We start from the raw sequence: 23,638 nt of genomic DNA, 5'->3' as shown, positions 1-23,638 counted from the left end.
AAAATATACTAAAAATATATTCCAAAATAGATAGGTTGAATTGATGGTTTAACGTTAAAAAGTTAAAATTGAACATTAAAAAATTCAATTCATTAAGTTTTTAATTTATTGAACATCTATTACATGCCTAACACTGTGCTTGTCAGGTAGAAATATAATGAGAAAAAAGCTCTTACTTTCAAGGAGCTTACTGCTCCTATTAGTGAAAAAAAGCACATATGTGACAACTAGAGAATACTCTGAGCCAGGATAACTTTGAATAAGACAAAAAGTGTATATGTAAGAAGGCCAAAGTCGGATAAGGTCAACATGGGCTGCAGAGATTGAGGGAAAGGTTGTATATAAGATATTAAACTGGTAAAAACTAGAGAACAGAGAGGACAGAGAAGAACCTTTCAGGTAACATTAACAGCAAAGCAAATAATTGGTTCTAGGAATGAGTATCAAGTTTTGAAAGTTATACACACACATGTGCATATGTATGTGTATATGTATATATATGTGTGTGTATAAATATGTGTTTTTTTCCAACTGCCATTCAGTAGTACTTTAAATTCAGGAATACTTTTGTGAACAAACACTTTTGTGTATTCCTGAATTTAAAGTACTATTGAATGGCTGTTTAAAAAAAAGTCAAGGGAATAACTTTATCACCTTGAGTAGTATATGGTAATAGTGGAGGCAGACAGAATTAAACAAAAACAATACATATCAACTAGCCAAAATCAATTTCTTCAAAGTCCAACCCATTACTTAAGCTATTTCACTTGAGCATAGGTCTAATTTGTAGAGCTGATCCAGACTTTGGGGGAGTACCTAGTTCTCTATTTGGCTAACAGTCAATTTTTATTACAGATATTACATTTATCATAATAAAATGCTTAAAATTTATACTGCTATAGCTATTATGGAATATAAATCATGTTTTTAAAAATATAGTATATATATACAACCTGAGTTTTAAAAGTGATAATTCTTCTATTCCTTTCAAGTTTCTCCAATGCAATTTCAAGTAAGTGTACAAGTTGTATAATCTTCACTCCAAAACAATCATACAGAAATTTTTACTTACTATAGCCTTAAAAGCCAGTAAAATAAAAATATTTGTTTTAAAAATTTCACTTCTTTCTTTCTTCCTTTCCTTCTTTCCCACAATAAGAATAAAAGTAATAATATTCTGCATCTTCTATTACTTTCCTATAAAACGCGGGGAGGCTTATTTGTGACATTCATATATCACTAACTTATATGAATGATGATTTTGTCCATAGCCAGATGGCTACATGATGTGACTTGAGGGTTCCTGGGAAAGGCTCCCTCTGCTTTCTGCTCCAGCAGTGTAATAGTGCTGCAAGTTCAACCTACGGAGTCATTGTCTTGGAATTAAATATTACATTCCATGATTTTTCTGTTAAAATAAGAAAACTGTTAGCTATTCTTAGTTATTACATCTTAACATACAAGTGCAGAGTTTTCTTCACCATCCCTGTTCTACTCACTATAGCTAGCTGAGTATAGGACCCCAGGGAATGGAACATAAAACAGCTTGTTTTGGGAAAGGGGAAATCATGCTTTAAGGATTGGGGCACTGCTTGGGAGCCAGGTTTATGTCTGGCAGTGAATGAGAGACCTGCTGACATAAGGGGTATCATTAAGGCATTAGAGGAGAGAAGGAAAACGAAAAAGAATGCTAAAAGGGTAACTGGAGGGCTGCTAAGGCAAGTTTAGTCTGCCTCACAATTTCCCCAAAGCAATTTCTGAATACATAACTGAACTTATTTGCTCACTTAAAAAATTTTAACTTGGAGAGTTATGTAGGAGGTCCATGTTATTCCAATGGGACAGATGGCTCTATTCTGTCATAGGCCTAAGGGATTACCATCCATCTTTTCACTAAATCCCATATACAGACCTCAAATTTGGAAAGTCATACAGAGATACAACACTGAATCCAGATATTTTGTGTTTTTATTAAAATCTCTTACTAAAGCCTTCTTACACTGTCTTGATGCTTCTTCAGTTTGGAGATTTGTTCTCCTTTAATTTCCATTTTCTTGAGTAAACACTCTAGTTCACATTCTATGTCGTCACAGACTGAATGACTTTCAGTTTCCTTCATTTGTTTCAGTAGTTCTTGGTGCTCCCTATGAAAGAATAGCAAATATTAAGCAGTATTATAGTTTATTGCATATATTTCTTTGCCATAATTAAGCAATTTTCTGTTCAATCATAAATTTTAGTCAGAGTTAAATATTAACCTTTAAAAACAGCCTCTTTCTTTAGGGTTAATTAAGTCTATGGTAAATATAACCAGGCTCCTGTGATTTGAAATTAAATACCTTTAGAAATATCTTAAGACGGCTAAGCAACTTTTAAAAACATCTGAATTCCTGATGCTCATAGCTGAATGTAGTAAAATGTATGATGTCTTTAACAGAGGTATTAAAGGGCTTTCTTCCTCGTTATTGATATAGGATCTTTGGAAGAATTCCAGTTGTAGAAGTATCTGCCTGAAAAATTTCTGGATTTGGAGTTAGCCTACTGAAATACTGTTAATAGAAAGAGTTATATCTTCTACAGAAGTCTTAGATCAACTAGCTGGTCAGCCAAATCACATAGTTCTGGAATTTCTGTTGAATATATATTTAAGCAGGTGGGCACAATATAATGTATCCCATATGGAAATCTTCTTTACTATAGATGCTTCAAAATTTGTAATGCAGACCAGCCAGAGTCTAAAACAAGGAATTACATTCCTACTTGTCTAATGAAATAATTCATTCAGCTAAAAGATTCTAAAACACAAAAGGAGAGCCTGTCTTATAAAAGCTTTTGTGAGTTTTAATCTAAGGTCATCAGATCCTGTATGTTAGAATGATAATAATATCTATCAGTCCAGATTTTGGGAATACAGAAATACCTAAGAATGAAAAAGTAGTAGCTATAAAGAATTGAAATTTTAAATAGTAATAAATACAATGAAAAATAGGGACAACAAACTGTCCAAATGGCTAAGTAACGCCTTTAAGAATTTATAAGTGGTATTGTTCTTAAGACTAAGAAGAAAAAGTGATATGGTACTTCTCCTGATAAAGAATAAAAATACTGGCCAGGCACGGTGGCTCATGCTTGTAATCCTAGCACTTTGGGAGGCCGAGGCAGGAGGATTGCCTGAAACCAGGAGTTCAAGACTAGCCTGGGCAACATAGCGAGACACTGTCTCTTGAAAAAAAAAAAGAATATAAATACTTACATGCTCATTTGGTCCAGCTCATCTTGCATTGCCATCAAAAGTTCAGATAAATTGTCACAAATGGAAATGGACTTTTCTGAGTCAGGAGGAATAGCTTTACACCAGGAAGTTGTTCTAGAAGGCTTGGGGAGACATCTAGTCTCAGTCACGTTAAAAGGTTTCTGAAGGATATGTGGGTCACGATGTTGCCTCATCTGCAAAAAGTTTTGCATACTTGCATTCACAGAACAGCTTGCACTGGTAGACTTATGGGAAAAGAAACAACTGAGAATAATTTTAAATGACTGAAGATATTTAAATAGCACTTACAACAAAACAGGAGTTTTTTTGAACGACTATCTTCATTTTATCCCCTCTCACCTTTTCAGCCACAAAAGGCAGTGCTCCAAACTTTGAACAAATTTGCCAAGGTGGTCGTCTCTTTATACATTTAGTTTTCTAGAGATTGGCAAGAAAAAAACGTAAACAAGAAATTATTTTAAAAGTTATTTACGATATGAAGAACTCTCAAAACTCAACAGAAAACAATGCAACTGGAAAATGGGCAAAAGACATGGACAGAAATTTCACTGACATAGACATACGTATGACAAACATACGAAAAGATATTCAACATCATTAATTATGGAAATGCGAGTTAAAATTACAGTGAAATATCACTGCACATCTATCAGAATGGCCAAAATAAAAAACAGTGACAATAACAAATGTTGGCAAGCACACAGAGAAAATAAAATCACTCACATATTGTTGGTGGGAATACAAAATGGTACAGCCATTTTGGAAGACAGTTTGGCAGTTTCTTATAAAACTAAAAATGTACTTATCACATGACCCAACAATTGTTCTCTTACGCATTTATCCTAGAAAAATGAAAACTTATGTTCACATAAAAACCTGTACACAAATGTTCATAGCAGCTTTATTTGTAATAGCTAAAAACCTGGAAACAATCGAAATATCCTTTTTTTTTTGAGATAGGGTCTCATTCTGTCACCCAGACTGGGGTGCAGTGGTATGATCTTGGCTCACCGCAACCTCCGTCTCCCAGGCTCAAGCGATTCTCCTGCTTTTGTCTCCCGAGTAGCTGGGATTACAGGTGTGTGCCACTACTGCCTGGCTAATTTTTGTATTTTTAGTACAGATGGGGTTTCACCATATTGGCCAGGCTGGTCTTGAACTCCTGACCTCAAATGATCCACTCGCCTTGGCCTCCCAAACTGTTGGGATTACAGGTGTGAGCCACCGCGCCCGGCTCCAGATATCCTTTAACAGATGAATGGTTAAATTGTGGTACATCCATAATGCGGAATACCACACAGAAATAAAAAGGATGTACTGATACATACGACAACTTGGACGGACCTCAAGGGAAAAAAGCCAACCACAAAAAGTTACATACTGCATAATTCCATTTATATAACATTCTTGAAATAATAAAATACACAGATGGTGAACAGATTAGAGGTTGCCAATGTTCAGGGAAGGGGATGTGTAGCTATAGAGGGATTGCATGAAGGAGTTTTTTAGTGGTGGAAGAGTTCTGTATCTTGATTATTGTGATGGTGACATGAATCTACACATATGATTCTCTCAAAAATCTACACATCTGATTTCTCTCTTGTAAAACTCTCCTACTGCTGTCAGTTACCATCTAAAATTACAACTCTAATCATGTCCCTACTCTTCTCAGAAGCCTTCAATAGTTCCTGTTTATAGAATAAAAGTTCAAACTCTTAACATGGCATTCAAGGTCAGCCATTAGCTCACCCCAAGCTATATTTTCCATTTTAACTTTCATTATGATCCCATCTCACCCCCACTACTGGACTATTACTTATAGGTCCCTGGAAAAACCAACAATTCCCTCAGACTATAACACATTTTTCCTCATCTCAGTCTGTCAATATTTAATTCTTCAAGGCTTCCTTTAATATTGCTCTTGAATTACCTTTCACATATTCCTTTGTCTACACAGCACCACAACACTTTGTTTAAACCTCTATTAATCTTCTATTATACTGTTTTATACTTATATATTTATCTGTTTCTCACAAATTCCTGTCTTATCTTTTTATCACCTAGAGATACCAGTCTATGTACATCAAGATGTAAGAGTTGAATGAACTATGTCCAGGACATGGAGAAACAGTGTGATGGGAAGCAGATCTCTCATAGAGGCTTCTTGAAATCTGATCCTACTTTCAGCAACTTTAGCACTCCCTCCATCTTTAAAAAGAGACATCATTATTTGCATACCCCGTGAACTTGGGATTTGAACTAAGTACTTCCATAAAATGATTCTGCTGTTAATTACTCTCTTCTCTTCCAGTAGTTACCTTTTCTTTCCTTCATTTCTTTTATCTTCTCCCTGTACCTTCACTATTTTTATAATAAATAGGTAAACTGAAAAAAGTTCCATTAACCCATCAGAGAAAGGATGCCATAAAACATACATACTGGGCAGTATGTGTTCCACTGGCAAATTACTTATAGTGATTTTTCTATTTGGCTTTGTAGCTGTGAATCTCATTGCACAAATAAGACACAAAACAAATATTTAGGAAAGGAAAGAGCCAAAATAAGTCATATTGGGGAAATATTGTTCGTTATTGTAGTTTGAAAATTCTTTAAAATGAAAAAATTATGAAAAATACAGCCCAAGTATTGAACATTAATTTTTATTTACGTAATAAAAGAGTAGCCAAAGTTAAGTTTACTGTTCTCTCCATTATTTTATCCACAAGCTAAGCATATGGCAGTGGCCAGAATTCCCAAATAGCATCTCCTGTCCCCCACAACAAATGGCACAGAGAACACTCACTCCATTCATATCTGAATAAATAGTAATAATGGCCATCAAAACCATAATTCCACAATCATAAGATTAAAAGGGATTAAAAACTTTTTTCATACCATTATATATAATTAAGAAGGGTTACTTGAATAGCATACATTCAAAACATCAATCCATCTAAACAAAATATTGGTCTATAAAGTACTAACTCTCCAATCCTTACTTTTGGGCAAATTCACAAGAAATAAGCATAGAAATTACATATAACAATAAATTCCCTATATAAATGACTTTACAGACTTAACAGGTCTATAAGAAAAACCTTATTTTTTATTGTCTATATATTACATAAAACTGCTTTCAGGATTTATTATGTTGTCAGTATCTACTGTGTTGTTTACTGCCTCTTTTATAAACTATCACAAAATATGTTTCTCCAGAAGTTTAAAACTAGAAAAATGTTAATCTTTCTAGAAAAACTGGAGTGCTTCCTGTTATTTCACAAAGATAGCTATACTGTCCATTATATGTTCCTTTTTGCTTTGGTTGTCAAGCAAACTCAGAGCTAAATTTTGTACATGACTGCTGCTACTTTTTTTAACCTGAATCTTATGAAATTTTCTGTCCTTATACCCCAAACCATCATCCATTACTTGACACGCATTATTGCATGTCTTTTATTTTATATCTTCAAATCCTTTTTGGAAAGGGGTAGGTATAAGGATTAAGAGGTTATATAAATAAGTATTAGCAGTATTTTTGTTTGGGAAAAAATTTTATATGCACACCTTTGAAGATTTCTTCTTTTCCTTGGAGTGCTTTAGATTTGAAACTGAAGACATTATAATTTTACTGATTTCAAGTCCAGTTTGAAGCTGTAATATTTAAAAAAAAGGTTATAACATTGATTTGTAACATGCAAAAACACTGTAATGAGATATCAGGTCTAAGTTTATAAATATAAAAATGCTTTTTGGAGAAGAAAAGAAAAGAAAATCCAAGATACCGTTTTTGTACATGTGAAGGTCACTAAGTCTATTGGTAATTACAATAATTTTCTGTTTATAAAAGAATAAATTATTTAATATATGTACAGAAATCAAACTGAAAACAATCTATCCTAGGAGTTCCTTCAACTGAGAATATATGTATTTGTCAGAATTTCAAAAGATTAAAAAAGACCTCTTGGTAATACATCCATGTATCATACTGGCTGACTGAGAATTTCATTATTGTAACGAAAAGACAATTTAGGAAGCAGAAATTAGAATCTAGAACATAGGCTTCAGTTAATGAAAATAAAAATATAATAAAACATATATGGTTTACTGTGATAGATTATATAGTGCTATATTTACCTCAGAAGCTTTGTCTTGAAATAGCTTACGCTGATGTTCTTCTTCCTTAAGTTTTTCTTCTAAATGTTTAATCTTGTCCTGCAAAAGAGTAAAAACTAAGATTGTTACATAAAAACTAGAGCCAAATATCATTTGTTTCTTTTCCAAATAGAGTCCTAGGGGGTCTTGATTCTTAAGAGTTTGGCAAATTAAGGCAGAAAATAAGAAAAAGGAATGGCACAAGATGTTAAGATTTTTCTTGGCTTTCTTCCCACTTCTTTCTTTGCTTCTTTACCTTCTATTACATACAAGAAGAACAAAGGGAAAGCAAAGAATATACACACACACAGGCTTTATTAACTTCCAGCAACAAAATCATTATGATGAAACTTTTAAGGGTACTAAAGGTGTAGCAGGTCAAACAATTATAGTCTTGGGTCTCAACGTTTCATTCAAAACATAAAAAAAAAATTCTACTATTTGCATATATGTGATAAGAGTGTACTTTTGGGAGAAGAGTGAAAAGACATAATAGAAATATACAATGTGGTCCTTGTTACTTAAGAGCTTATACAGATTGAGGATCCCTTATCTTAAGTGTTTGGAACCAGAGATATTTTAGATTTTGGAATATTTTCATTACTGGTTCGGTATCCCTAATCCAAAAATTCAAAATCCTATATGCTCCAGTGAACATTTCTTCTGAACATTATTATTAGTGTTCAAAAAGTTTTGGATTTTGGAGTATATCAGATTTTGGATTTTTGGATTAAGGACACCCAACCTGTATTGTATGAAAAGAAAAAAAGAGCAATATTCATAAAACAACAAAACAACAAAGCAAGGAAATAACTTGACAGGCACCATATATACATATAACCTTATATATGTAAGTATTATGTCTTACATCTGTGGTGTGGTTCAGAATAGGAGGACAGTACTATTTCAAAGGGAGAACTTCCTGAGTGTTGGAGAGTTCAAGGAGGACTTCCTAGGGGAAGTACGACTGTGAGAAAACCCTATAAAATGGAAAAGATTTGGAGGGAAAAAGGATGAAGAGGGGAACTGGTATAGGCTTAATTTGACTACAAGTGGTGAAAGACAATTTTTCAATACCCTTTAGGTAAAGTATCTGACAAATGAAAATATCCTGCCATATTAGAAGTCAAAATTACAATTTCACATCAAAAGACAGCTCATTCATACTGTGACAGAACGCATTAACTTTTCACTCTATAGGTGAGAATTCATATCTGGATTATAAAAAGTTGTAAATGAAGTTTTATAAATCTAAGATTTACTCTACATTCACATAAAATACCAATTATGCTTAACACTAAAGATTCATTCCTGTTGTCATCACTTCAAAGAAAGCTTACCTCAGCAGTTTTCTGAGTTGTTGTAAGTCTGAAACACTCTTTTTCTAAGACATCAAGCTTTTCAAGTTTTGCATACAGCTTCATCTGATCTTGTTCTTTTTCCCTCTGAAGCTGGGCCTAGAAAGGATAAAAATAAAATAGCAACCCTGAATTTGGCAAGTAATGCCAATGGAACAAGAATAATACAATTTCTGAGAATTCAAAACACAATATAAATATCTTAAGAAACATGTACATAAACAAACACACATACTTTAGATGCTTACAAGCAAAAAACAAGAAAATCAAATACTTTTTGTTATTTATTTTTTTCAACCTTAAAGTCATAATTTTTAAAATTTAAATTTAATTTTTTTTTTCTGAAAATCAAACACTTTTAAGGAGCAAATATAACACGCAAAAAAGGCCAGGCGTGGTGGCTCATACTTGTAATTCAAGCACTTTGGGAGGCTGAGGTGGGAGGACTGCTTGAACCCTGGAGTTTGAGGCCAGCCTGGGCAACATAACGGGACCCCTCCTCTACAAAAAACTTAAAAATCAGCTGGACATGGTGGTGCATGCACACCTGTAGTCTCAGCTGCTTGGGAGGCTGAGATGAGAAGATTGCTTGAGCCTGGCAAGTCAAGGTTATGGTAAGCAGTGACTGTGCTACCGCACTCCAGTCTGGGCAACAGAGTGAGACCTTGTCTCAAAAAAAAAAAAAAAAAAAAAAAAAAAAGTGCAGATTAGATGTGTTATATTAGCATCAGTGAAACAAACTCGTCTATGCATCTTTGTATAGAATATAAATTAATTCTATTATGGAAAACTTTTCTTTTCTTTTCTTTTCTTTTTTTTTTTTGAGACAGAGTCTTGCTGTTGCCCAGGCTGGAGTGCAGCAGCATAATCTTGGCTCACTGCAACCTTTGTCTCCTGGGTTCATGCGATTCTCCCTCCTCAGCTTCCCAAATAGCTGGGATTACAGGCGCCTGCCACCATGCCCTACACTAAGTTTTGTATTTTTAGTAGAGACGTGGTTTCACCGTGTTGCTCAGGCTGGTCTCGAACTCCTGACCTCAAGTCATCTGCCCGCCTTGGCCTCCCAAAGTGCTGGGATTACAGGCGTGAGCTACCAAGTCTGGCCTAAGAAAACCATTATTGATAAAACCTGTATTAAATAGTGTTATTTACAAGGTGACCAAACATACTCATTAACTTACCCTCTCTCTAACATAGAAAAGCAGCTATCAGAGGAATAAAACATAAGAACACAGAGAAAAGGAAAGTTATACACACACACACACACACACACACACACACACACACACACACACGCACGCACATCTATATGCTATTTTGTAGTGGCATTTATAACCATACCAATGTAAAGTATTAATAATAGGGGCAACCGTGAGGGAGCAAGAACTCTTTCTATACTATCTGCTCAATTTTCTATAAACCTAAAATGGCTGTAAAAGATAAAGTCTAGGCCGGGCGTGGTGGCTCACGCCTGTAATCCCAGCACTTTGGGAGGCCAAGGTGGGTGGATCACCTGAGGTCAGGAGTTTGAGACCAGCCTGCCCCAACATGGCAAAACCCTGTCTCTACTAAAAATACAAAAAGTTAGCTGGGTGTGGTGGCGGGCGCCTGTAATCCCAGCTACTTGGGAGGCTGAGGCAGGAGAATTGCTTGAACCAGGGAGGTGGAGGTTGCAGTGAGCCAAGATTGTGCCACTGCACTCCAGCCTGGGCGACAAGAGTGAAACTCTGACTCCAAAAAAAATAAAAAAGATAAAAGTCTATTAATTAAAACAAAACCAAAAACAATACCAATAAACAGAGTCTTGGTAACCTGTGGTTTAATAACATTTAGTTGAAGTCCCAGAGAAGAAGAGAGAGAGGTGGGACAGAATAATTATTTGAAGGATAATAGTTGAAAATGTTCCAATTTAATGAAAAATACTGACAGATTCAAGAATCTCAAAAGGTTCAAGCATTAAAAAAAAAATACTTAGCAACATATTGTTGAAAACTAGTGATAAAGGGGAAAATCTTAATAGCAGCCTGAGAAATGATGACACATTCTGCATAGAGGAATACAGAGAAGAACTCTGATTAGAAACTATGAGATCCAGAAGGCAACAGGAACAAAATCTTCAATGTGCTTAAAGAAGAAAAGATGTCACCTAGAATTCTATATCCAGCCAAAATATCTTTCACAAATGACAGTGAAATAGACTTTTCCAGATAAATAAATGCTAAGACAATACTTAGCATTCTGATATTTTCCTTCAGACTGAAGAAAAATGATATCAAATGGAAAACAAAATCTACACAAAAATAAAAAGCACAGAAAATGGTAAAAAATACATATTTTTGTTTCCTAATTTTCCTGAAAGGATAATTGACCATTTGAAGCAAAAATAATAATGTATTGTGGGTTGTATGACAAATGCAGAAATAAAATGTATGAAAACTATAGCACAAAGGGGAATAAGAGGAAGCATACTAAAAGAGGATCCTACATTACATGTGAAATATTTTAATACAGATTTATGGCAGACTGTGGTTAGTTAAGAATACACATTTTAGTTCATAGAGCAGCTATTAAAAAGGATCATAATTTGTTTCAATATCAACTAGAGAAAGACTTTCATCTTATTCTTCTTCAGAATACTTTGGCTGTTCTTGGACCTTTGCTTTTCCATATAAATTTTAGAATTAAATTCTCTAGTTCCTTAAAAATCTGTTATGTATTTGACCCATCAATATCCAGTATTGATTGGTACTTTTACCCTTCTGCCAAGAAAATGCAAGGATATTAGAACACTTTAAACTACTTTACTTCTTCCTAACATATAAGCCATTGTTCTGATGAATTTTAATTCTTTATATTTAAACCATACAAAGCATTATTATTGTTGCCTTATATAATATTAATTTAGATTTATCCACATATTTACCATCTTCATTGCTCTTCATTCCTTCCTGCATCTCTGACCTTCTACCAAAGGTCATTTTCCTTCTGTCTGATGTCCTTTAGTGTTCTCTTTAGAGTGGACCTACTAGTAACAAATATATCTCAGTCTTTTTAGTCTTAAAATATCTTTATTTCTGAAGGATACTTCCCCCGGGCATAGAATTCTAGACCAGTACTTATTTTCTTTTAACACCTTAACTCTATCAGTTCCTTGTCTTCTGGGTTCAGTACTTTGAGTTGAGAAGTCAGCTATCACTTTAATTGTTGTCTCTTTGAGTGTAATTTTTTTTTTCTGGATGCTTTTAAGATTTTACTTTTTTTTTTTTTTTTGAGACAGAGTCTTGCTCTGTCGTCCAGGCTGCAGTGCAACGGCACAATCTCAGCTCACTGCAACCTCTGCCTCCCGGGTTCAAGCGATTCTCCTGCCTCAGCCTCCTGAGTAGCTGAGATTACAGATGCCTGCCACCAAGCCCGGCTAATTTTTGTATTTTTAGTAGAGATGGGGTTTCACCATGTTGGCCAGGCTAGTAATTTTACTTTTTAATACATTTTGTAACATTCTTAGCCATTATCTCTTCAAATATTGCTTTTCCCCATTTTCCTTTCCTTTCCTTTTGAAACTCCAATTACACGTAAGTTAGACCTCATTCTAACATTATGCCACCTTTGCCTTTGAATTTTCCCGTGAAATTAAAATATTCTTCAAAAACATACAAAATTATATTATCATTCCTTATAGAAAATATGCTCACCTGTTGTTCTAGGATCATGTTCTTTTCTCGCTCTACGTTGAGAACCATTCTCTTTGTATATTCTAGTTGCTTCTCTAGAAGAGTACAACGAGACTGGGCTGAGCTTAACTGTATACTTATATCTATGAAATAAAGGGTATTCAATTAGGAAAAGAGGAAGTCAAATTGTCCCTGTTTGCAGATGACATGATTGTATATCTAGAAAACCCCATTGTCTCAGCCCAAAATCTCCTTAAGCTGATAAGCAACTTCAGCAAAGTCTCAGGATACAAAATCAATGTACAAAAATCACGAGCATTCTTATACACCAATAACAGACAAACAGAGAGCCAAATCATGAGTGAACTCCCATTCACAATTGCTTCAAAGAGAATAAAATACCTAGGAATCCAACTTACAAGGGACATAAAGGACCTCTTCAAGGAGAACTACAAACCACTGCTCAATGAAATAAAAGAGGATACAAACAAATGGAAGAACATTCCATGCTCATGGGTAGGAAGAATCAATATCGTGAAAATGGCCATACTGCCCAAAGTAATTTATAGATTCAATGCCATCCCCATCAAGCTACCAATGACTTTCTTCACAGAATTGGAAAAAACTACTTTAAAGTTCATATGGAACCAAAAAAGAGCCCGCATTGCCAAGTCAATCCTAAGCCAAAAGAACAAAGCTGGAGGCATCACGCTACCTGACTTCAAACTATACTACAAGGCTACAGTAACCAAAACAGCATGGTACTGGTACCAAAACAGAGATACAGATCAATGGAACAGAACAGAGCCCTCAGAAATAATGCCGCATATCTACAACCATCTGATCTTTGACAAACCTGAAAAAACAAGCAACGGGGAAAGGATTCCCTATTTAATAAATGGTGCTGGGAAAACTGGCTAGCCATATGTAGAAAGCTGAAACTGGATCCCTTCCTTACACCTTATACAAAAATTAATTCAAGACGGATTAAAGACTTAAACGTTAGACCTAAAACCATAAAAACTCTAGAAGAAAACCTAGGCATTACCATTCAGGACATAGGCATGGGCAAGGACTTCATGTCTACAACACCAAAAGCAATGGCAACAAAAGCCAAAATTGACAAATGGGATCTGATTAAACTAAAGAGCTTCTGCACAGCAAAAGAAACTACCATCAGAGTGAACAGGCAACCTACAGAATGGGAGAAAATTTTTGCAACCTATTCATCTGACAAAGGGCTAATATCCAGAATCTACAATGAACTCAAACAAATTTACAAGAAAAAAACAAACAGCCCCATCAACAAGTGGGCGAAGGACATGAACAGACATTTCTCAAAAGAAGACATTTATGCAGCCAAAAAACACATGAACAAATGCTCACCATCACTGGCCATCAGAGAAATGCAAATCAAAACCACAGTGAGATAGCATCTCACACCAGTTAGAATGGCAATCATTAAAAAGTCAGGAAACAACAGGTGCTGGAGAGGATGTGGAGAAATAGGAACACTTTTACATTGTTGGTGGGACTGTAAACTAGTTCAACCATTGTGGAAGTCAGTGTGGCGATTCCTCAGGGATCTAGAACTAGAAATACCATTTGACCCAGCCATCCCATTACTGGGTATATACCCAAAGGATTATAAATCATGCTGCTACAAAGACACATGCACACGTATGTTTATTGCGGCACTATTCACAACAGCAAAGACTTGGAACCTACCCAAATGTCCAACAATGATAGACTGGATTAAGAAAATGTGGCACATATACACCATGGAATACTATGCAGCCATAAAAAAGGATGAGTTCATGTCCTTTGTAGGGACATGGATGAAATCAGAAATCATCATTCTCAGTAAACTATCGCAAGGACAAAAAACCAAACACCGCATGTTCTCACTCATAGGTGGGAATTGAACAATGAGAACACATGGACACAGGAAGGGGAACATCGCACTCTGGGGACTGTTGTGGGGTGGGGGGAGAGGGGAGGGATAGCATTAGAAGACATACCTAATGCTAAATGACGAGTTAATGGGTGCAGCACACCAGCATGGCACATGTATACATATGTAACTAACCTGCACATTGTGCACATGTACCCTAAAACTTAAAGTATAATAATAATAAAATAAAATAAAATAAAAAGACAAAATAATAACCAGTCAATTACCTGATTATCATATAGATCAGAGATTTGGTTATCACAAGAAATGTACTATGTGAATTCATCAAGAGCTAAAAGTTCAAGGCCTCCTTTATCTCTGAGTATTGACTCTCCCAGAGTTATGAAAATACATTTGTAAACAGCTCATTAATTACACAGAACTGGTTTAATATTGTCTCCTCCTAAAAATTCAGAGGGCACACTTCTGAAAGAGGAGGATGTCAGTAACTTGTGGGATGATAAATATCCTGGTTGTTGATGGAAATAACATCATCTGGAAAAACAGAGGCTGAAAGTTTCTTACCTATCAATATATTTCTTCTCTTTCAGGAAACTCAAGTATATGCATCTACCACTCTCATTTTCCCCTGTTCTTGACTGCTGGCAGAACAGTTAATTCCACAGCAGAAAGCAACCTATTTCTAATCCTTTAACTCTTTACTTTCCTCACCCCTTTCTTCTACTTTTGTCCAATTACCTCAGAAATATTTTTCTCCCCATTTGTTCATTCTACTTCTAAGTTGAAACACAAACTTGAGCCTTGTTTATGAGGATGAGTGTAGTGTAAAAAGGAAAAAGAAAGTCTTAAGTTTTGAAGTGAAATTACTTAAAAGACTTATGTTCTAAATTTCTAAAATTTTTCATAATTTCCACAGAAGCCTCCCCCATTTGCCTATGTCTTCTAATTAACCTTGCTTTCCTCTCATTAAATAAAATTCTTTTGTATTCATTTTTATTGGTTTTACATTGTTTAATTACTAGTGTTGTTCTGTATTTCAAATTCTAAAGTTTAGTGTTAACTGCAAATACAAATAAATAAAATAAAAAATAAATATTCAATTACGGGTTAAATTGGAGTTTGTTGGCTATTCTGAAAATATTCTAATTTTTAAACACAACTTGTCTAAAATCTTAATTTTTCCTTTAATTTCTAGAATTTATGAATTATGATAAGTAAGATATGATAGAGGTAAGTTCAAAACTGTATCTTTTTCTCACAAATATCAAAAGGTCTGAGAACAAAGTCATGAAGTTTGAATATATATAAGAATAAAGATATCTGAGTACATCGGCTTAGACTAGGTTTATTATTTTTGAACTGTAAACTCCAGTAACCCCCGGTTTCTGAGAACTACTGCATTTCTTACCTTTTTTCTGCTTTATCAGCTCCTGGTGTGCCAGATTTCTCTCATTTGTTTCATTCTCTAAGGCCTTCTTATACTGTGCTGCTTCTCTGGAAAGAATGTTCAGGTTATCTTCAGCTTGTGTTCTCTCCAGCTCTAAACGATGAATTTTTTCCTGAAGAGTTTTTAAGGCTAAAATAAGAGCTGTTGAAAAAAAATTTTGTTGATATTTTAAGTGAAAGTTTCTGAACACTTACAATCAAAGTAACATAAGAAAAATAAGCAGTATATTTTTGTTACTGAGCCAGAAAAATGTACAAGTAATGCATATTCTTCAAAAAATGAAAAATAATGACTAACACTTTGAAGAGGCGCACATTTTCTCTCTAATATATCTTGTAAAAACACTATATCTATTATTGTATTTAGTGGTTTCTAAGACTGAGAAAGGTAATAACCACAATTTTAATTTAATAAAATATTTACAAATGAAAGGACTTAAAGACAATGTACAGTCTGGGGAGCATAAGAGTATAAATATGAATAAGAACATTAAAATATAATTTCTACTAATTAACATGGCAATTTAGGTTTAAAGTTATAGGCTTTTTTTCTCAGTTCTTGAGGTATTCCGTTTTAGTCAAATCACACATATTTACTGTTTCTTTGTCCATGATGCAGTATTAAGAACCAGGATAATTATAACCTAATGGTTTACCTGATGTCAGACCTGAAAGATAATAGTATTCTATACTACTGTGACTTATATTCAACTATATTAATATCTTCATGCTTCAGATAAGTTCAGAGTTTTAACTGTCATATAGTTTATATCAAATTAGAAAGATGCTTGCTAGAGATTACCATTTTGTTTTTATAAATGAGATAAATAAATTATATTTATTCCTCTTTACATGATATCTGTAGCTGGCACATTGATTTGCATTATTATTTCTTATAGTTTATTCCACAAAACTAGTTTATTTATTAACAGCAACCATTATTATAGAAGATTTTAAAAGTAGGTGATATCAGCATCTCAGAAAAGAATTTGCACAGCTTAAAATATGCCTGGAGTAATAAAATGTTTTCCTAATTCAATTTTAAGATCCTCCTACATTTCTATTTTAAACGTTAAAATACTAGTATTTTGTAGTTACTCTGATATACTGGCTTCCTAAAATATTTTCAAGAATAATTTTGGATATATGTAATTTCTGAATCTAATTCTTGAATAAGATGCAATTCCATTTAATTCACTAACATTCTAATCATCTAGTTTAGTATTCCAAATCTGACCTTTTATTCTTCAAAGAGTATTTTCCTGTTTTCAAATGATGTTTTTATGATAACTCTGTGATATGTGTCCAGCTGGTTGTATTAATCTTCATTTTATGGCTGAAGAAGCCAAAATAAAAAATGTCAAGTAATTTGTCTAAGTTCATAGAAACTTTTAGCAACAGAATCAAAGTTAGGAGTTTTGTTAAGATTAAATATGCAATCATATTGTATTCCACATAAATATGAAAAGTTTTTTATAGCATGTTTTTACCATTCTTCAAATTTTATATCAGCATTACCTTGGCTATTTGGGCTATGAAGTATCTTAGGAGAGGTAACTTCTAAGTTTGCAGGATGGCAATTCTGAGATGGTTCATTCTGGGTGAATGAGGGAACAAATACTCTTTCTGGAGGTTTATGATAGCTTCCTACTATACTATGCATTAATTCAGAATCCATTATCTGTAGAGAATAAAGGAATGATATAGTATCATGCTTTCCTATTTTAAGGGTAAATGCATTATACAAAAATTCAGGTGAAACTTTAAAAACATAATCATATACTGTGGAGTTGTATCTTTATGAACTTAATTATAAATTCAACTCTAATAGGCTTGGCAATAAAAGAAAGAAAAGTTACTATTTCTTGTGTAAGCAGTACTGACAATTCTGCCTGATTTTCAATAATCATATACCCTGGAGTAAGCATCACATGAGTGATTTGAATTTACTGGTTTCTCAGTTACCCATAAATCCCATATACCTATCATAGTCTGAGCACTTCTCTATAAGCAGTGTGACTCTAGGATTTAAAGAGAAAGTACATATTCTAAAAGATAACTGAGCTTTTAAACACAAACCAACAATATACACTGATTCTCTAATACTGATTGTTGAATTCTAATGTATGGCTTCCTAAGGGATTTTCAAGGGTAATTTTGGATATATGAAATATCGGAATTTAACCTTTGAATAAGACACACCTCTGCTTAATGTATTAGCATTTTAATCATCTAGATTAGAAAGTTTCCAAATCTGAAGAATCTAGACTACTTAGTTTTGTTAGTCTGGTTTTTATTTTGTTGTTGTTTTTGTTTTGGTAAGAGAGCCCTTTTAACCATTTAAGCAGGTAATTTTTGGTCTAAAATTTCCAAATAATTTTATTTTCCTTTCTGCAATTTAAATATTTTAGAAATGTATTCTATTTTTTAATAGATTCCAGTCAATGTTAATTAAATTAATTCATAATCACATAAGGTGATAACTGCTTACAAAAAAATAACTCACTGGAAGAATTTTAAGCAAGAAAGCTTGCTTCAAAATGGAAATCCAAGAATTACACTATAACATTAGCCTATTTTGATTTTTGAGAGTTGTACATTTTCCATGATTTCACCACCTCCTCAATTCACAAGGCAAAGGCAGGCACTTCCCAGGATAGTATTTTCTGGAAGGGCAGAAGGCACACTTCACTTCCTAGAATTTTCTACTTTAGCCATTGCCATGATTGGCAATCTCCTAGAACATTCTGATTGGTCTAAATTAGAGGCTATAAAGCCTAAGGTTTGCTAAGATACTTGATGCTTTTTGTTCTTGCAAGGTAACCATATTTTGCTATTGTGATTAGTACCAGCTATCTCAGACACTGCCTGCTCCCCATGGGATACCGCATCTATCTAAGTTGTTGTTCCCTCAAAAAACAAGAGATCAACATTAGTCACAGCTGGCTCACTATAAAGTGGAGGTAAGGCCCTAAAGTACGTAAATCCTGAAGATGGTTGTACATCTTCAGAGAGAGGTAAGTTGTTAAAGCTATCCCAAGAATACTGGAGCTACTCAAGAAATCTGACTTAGTTTTCAGCTCCGGGTGGGTTTCTCCAATGACATAAAGAATGAAATTTTGCTATTTGTCACTACACACTGAAGTCCTTGGGAGGTCTCTGCTTCCTCTGACCTAAGTATAATATTATTTCACAAACCGGATTTTGTACCAGTTAAAAAACTGGTCCAAATTTGAGGTTTTTAATGTATATGAAATAATGACTAGTTAGAAGATTGCCAGTAAGTTAAAAAGTAGACTACAGTTTATTTAAATTAAATGTGTAGACACATATTAAAGTGGGCACAAGCAGAATAATCCACTGATAGGATAAAAACAAGATGAAGAAAAAGAAAGAAAACAGTAAAGAGATGAGAGGACAAGTTATGTTGTGACACAGAGCTCAGAGATTCTCATTGTAATGGGATCTCAGCTTAACCTTTATAATCTGGTCCTGTGTTGTAAACAAGTGCATAAGCCTACTGGAAGCTTATTTATATAAAGCACTGAAGCATCCTGGGAGAAAAACTCACTCTGAAAGAAGGTGAAGTAACTACAAAAGGCTTGATCCAAAATAAAAGCCTTAAATGACTAAGGAAAGGAGGAGTGATTCTGAGTAGACTATGATGGTGGTCATTCTAATTTATCTCTGACCTAGTGCCATGGACTCATATGTGGGTTCTAAAAAGAGAGAGAGTTTAAATAAAAACTGAGAAATGTTTCACCAATATCTCTATAAAATATCAAGGCATTAGCTTCCCTGCTTTGTGTAAGATGTTACATGACAATGGAGGGGGAGTCAGATTGCTAACACAGTTTTGGCCCCTTTCTGGTGCATCAGTTAGTAGTATTCAGTGAGAGAGAGAGAGAGAGAGAGAGAGAGAGAGAGAGAGAGAGAGAGAGAGAGAGAGAGAGCAAGAGAGACAGTGAACAAGAGTGAGAAAGCGAGAGAGCAACAGAGAAACAGAGAGAGCACAGATGGAAGGGATACATTCATGGGCACATATGAGAAATATTTCTAGGGAAAAATTTCTGAAAATACAGAGAAGTACCTAAATCACAATCTCTAGGATTCCGGTATTTCTGATACCAGACTTAGCTAGCTGTTGGTAACTGAAAAGACCTCAGGAATTCTTATGGAACATTTTATAGGTGTCTTCAAGTAAGGGCAAAAGGCTATAAAATGTGAACCTCATTTGTATCAAGCCTGAGAAACTCAAGTTGTACCTTTTTTTTTTTTCTTAAAATTTTTATTTATTTTTTCTTTATTTATTCTAACAACAAACAAACAAAAAATGGAATACATGTGCAGAACGTGCAGGTTTGTTACATAGGTATACATGTGCCATATTAGTTTGCTGCACCTATTGACTCGTCCTCTAAGTTCCCTCCCCTTACCACCCACAGGCCCTGGTGTATGTTGTTCCCCTCTCTGTGTCCAGGTGTTCTCAATGTTCAACTCCCACTTATGAGTGAGAACATGCAGTGTTTGGTTTTCTGTTCCTGTGTTAGGTTGCCAAGGATGATGGCTTCCAGCTCCATCCATGTCTCTGCCAAGGACATGATCTCATTCCTTTTTATGGCTGCATAGTATTCCATGGAATATATGTACCACATTTTCTTTATCTAGTCTATCATTGATGGGCATTTGGGTTGGTTTTCCTGAAACCATTCTTGACAGCTTGTGAACAACCAGGGAAATTACTCACTGTTTTTATGGTTTATAAAATTAAGATACCCCAATTGGCTGCAACTAAGAACCCATTGCATAAAAAAACTATCCCCCTAAAAAGAATGCTCTAGACACAAACACTTTACTGCAAAGCATTTTTACTTTTTATAGAGGAAAACACTTATTCCATAGGACTGCTAGGGAGACGACATTAGGGGGCAGTCAGAGATACTATAGAAGACTTTTGAAATAAAGGAATCTCTGTTTGCTGTAACTGCTACTTCTTCCAAGTTTGGATTTTTCCTTAGAGAAACTGAAGAAGGATCAACAGCTCAGTTTCTTTGATCTGTTTTTTTCTTTATGTATGCATCTATGCTAACTTACCTTAAGAGCAAACACAGTAAGGCTGGACTAACTCTTTTATTTTTTAATGTATAGTACTTTAGGAAGTACTATAACTTATTATATCTTATTATTATCTTATTATAACTGAATAAGATAATTTGTGGTGGTGGAACTTACTTATAGATATCCCATAATAATTATATAATGTATTATTTATAATATAAAATCACCAAAATGTTAAGATGTGACAATAAAAACTGGTCAATAGAAACTAGTAAATACACGAATGTAACATAAATACTTCAATGGGATTCAGCTATTCATTTGTTGATCATCCAATAAATGATGTTAGAAAAATTGGGGAAACACTTTGGGAGGGAGAGGTGGGCGGATCATGAGGTCAGGAGTTCGAGACCAACCTGGCCAACAGTGAAACCCTGTCACTACTAAAAATACAAAAAATTAGCCAGGCGTGGTGGTGGATGCCTGTAATCCTAGCTACTTGGGAGGCTGAGGCAGAAGAATCACTTGAACCTGGGAGGTGGAGGCTGCAGTGAGCCGAGATTGCGCCACTACACACTAGCACAGGCAACAATGTGAGACTGTGTCTCAAAAACAAAAGAAAAAAATGGGGAAAAAATCCATTTAAGGCTTCATCTTGCCCCATACATCAATACAAATTTCAGATAGCTACAGAGTCAAATAAAGAAAACGCAGCTGGGCGCGGTGGCTCATGTCTGTAATCCCAGCACTTTGGGAGGCCGAGGCGGGCGGATTACGAGGTCAGGAGATCGAGACCATCTTGGCCAACATGGTGAAACCTCATCTCTACTAAAAACACAAAAAATTAGCCGGGTGTGGTGGTGGGCGCCCGTAGTCCCAGCTACTCAGGAGGCTGAGGCAGGAGAATGGCGTCAACCCGGGAGGCGGAGCTTGCAGTGAGCCGAGATCGCACCGCTGCACTCCAGCCTGGGCAACAGAGCGAGAATCCATCTAAATAAATAAATAAATAAAAAACTCTAAAAATTATTTTAAGAAATCAGTGAATATTAAATAACCTTAGAATAGGTAAGATATTCTATGTTTAAAAGTAACAGAAAAATAAAGGAAAAGATACAAAAGCTCTGTTAAAATTAATACAACATATAAGGCCGGGCGCGGTGGCTCACCTCTAATCCTAGCACTTTGAGGGGCTGAGGCAGGCGGATCACGAGGTCAGGAGTTCGAGACCAGCCTGGCCAGCATGGTGAAACCCCGTCTCTCTTAAAAATACAAAAATTAGCCAGGCATGGTGGCGCACACCTGTAGACCCAGCTACTCGGGTGGCTGAGGCAGGAGAATCACTTGAACTCGGGAGGCGGACGTTGCAGGGAGCCGAGATCGTGCCACTGTACTCCAGCCTGGGTGACAGAGAAAGACTCTGTCTAAAAAAAAAAAAAAAAAATTAATACAACATATAAAAATTATAAACAAAATTGAATGACAAAAGACAAACAGAAGTAATTAAGTGCAATGAAGAACAAAGGGTTAATGTTAATATGTAAAGGGCTTTTGTAAGTCAAAAGAAAACTACTAACGTCATAATAGAAAAATGACAAGTGGCAAGTGCTTGTAATCCCAGCTACTCAGGAGGCTGAGGGAGGAGAATCGCTTGAACCCGGAAGGCGGAGGTTGCAGTGAGCCGAGATCAAGTCACTGCACTCCAGCCTGGGTGACAGAGTGAGACTCCATCTCAATAAATAAATACATAAATAAATAAATCTTAGTAATAATCAATGAAAAGCAGTTATATCCAGATTCAAAAGTAAAGCCTTTGCAGCTGGACCTCAATTCAAATCCTGAATCTGCCACTTACTACTATCTTTCTGACTTTCAGAAAAACATTTTTCAGAAAATATTAATGGAAAATTCCAGCCTGGGCATGGTGGTTCATGCCTATAATCCCAGCACTTTGGGAGGGTGAGGAAGGTGGATCATTTGAGGTCAAGAGTTCGAGACCAGCCTGGCCAACATCGTGAAACCCCTTCTCTCTTAAATATACAAAAATTAGCCAGGCAGGCTGGGCATGGTGGCTCACGTCTGTAATCCCAGCACTTTGGGAGGCCAAGGTGGGCAGATCATTTGAGGTCACAAGTTCAAGACCAGCCTGGCCAACATGGTGAAACACCTTCTCTACTAAAAATACAAAAAAATTGGCTGAGCGTGGTGGCAGGCGCCTGTAGTCCCAGCTACTTGGGAAGCTTGAAAAGCGGAGGCAGGAGAATCACTTGAACCCAGGAGGCAGAGGTTGCAGTGAGCCGAGATCATGTCACTGCACTCCAGCCTGGGAGACAGAGTGAGACTCCATCTCAAAAAAAAAAAGAAAAAAGAAAAAAAAATTCAGCCAGGCGAGATGGCTCATACTGTAATTCCAGCTACTATGGTGGCCGAGGCACAATTGTTTGACCCAGGAGGCGAATGTTGTGGTGAGCTGAGATTGTACCACTGCATTCTAGCCTGAGTAATAGAGTCAGACTCTGTCTCAAAATTTTTTAAACTGAAAATACCAGAAACCATTCATAAGTTTTAAATTGTGCTCCGTTCTGAATACCATGATGATGAAATCTCACACTGTCCAGCTCCATCCTGCCCAGGATGTGAATCATCTCTTTGTCCGGCATTTCCACACTGTAGACGCTACCTACCTGTTAGTTGTTTGGTGGCCACCTTGGTTATCAGATCAACTGTCATAGTATCACAGTGCTTGTGTTCAAGTAACTCTTATTCT

General features: G+C 35.4%; 1 protein-coding gene across 21 annotated transcripts in view; it reads right to left on the bottom strand.

Annotated features, from left to right (window-relative positions):
- The window catches only part of CEP57L1 (centrosomal protein 57 like 1), a 79,256-nt gene that overhangs the window by 11,703 nt on the left and 43,915 nt on the right, over positions 1 to 23,638 (bottom strand). For 3 of the 21 annotated variants that reach the window (NM_001083535.3, NM_001271852.3, NM_173830.6), the window contains 9 exons: positions 17,335 to 17,497; positions 15,779 to 15,958; positions 12,477 to 12,598; positions 8,767 to 8,883; positions 7,409 to 7,486; positions 6,839 to 6,925; positions 3,614 to 3,691; positions 3,254 to 3,447; positions 2,000 to 2,144 (listed from right to left, as the gene is read on the bottom strand). In NM_001083535.3, coding sequence (NP_001077004.1) covers positions 2,000 to 2,144; positions 3,254 to 3,447; positions 3,614 to 3,691; positions 6,839 to 6,925; positions 7,409 to 7,486; positions 8,767 to 8,883; positions 12,477 to 12,598; positions 15,779 to 15,958; positions 17,335 to 17,494 — 1,161 coding nt within the window. In that variant the 5' untranslated portion in view covers positions 17,495 to 17,497. Of the gene's footprint in view, positions 1 to 1,985; positions 2,145 to 3,253; positions 3,499 to 3,562; positions 3,692 to 5,918; positions 6,926 to 7,408; positions 7,487 to 8,766; positions 8,884 to 12,476; positions 12,599 to 15,778; positions 15,959 to 17,334; positions 17,498 to 22,040; positions 22,296 to 23,638 lie in introns of those variants that run through there. The other 18 variants (NM_001350655.2, NM_001350657.2, NM_001350654.2 and 15 more) reach the window with 15 other exon arrangements.

This window comes from Homo sapiens, chromosome 6 (genome assembly GCF_000001405.40).
Source record: "Homo sapiens chromosome 6, GRCh38.p14 Primary Assembly".
Lineage (NCBI taxonomy): Eukaryota > Metazoa > Chordata > Mammalia > Primates > Hominidae > Homo > Homo sapiens.
This window is presented reverse-complemented; position numbering and strand designations above follow the sequence as displayed.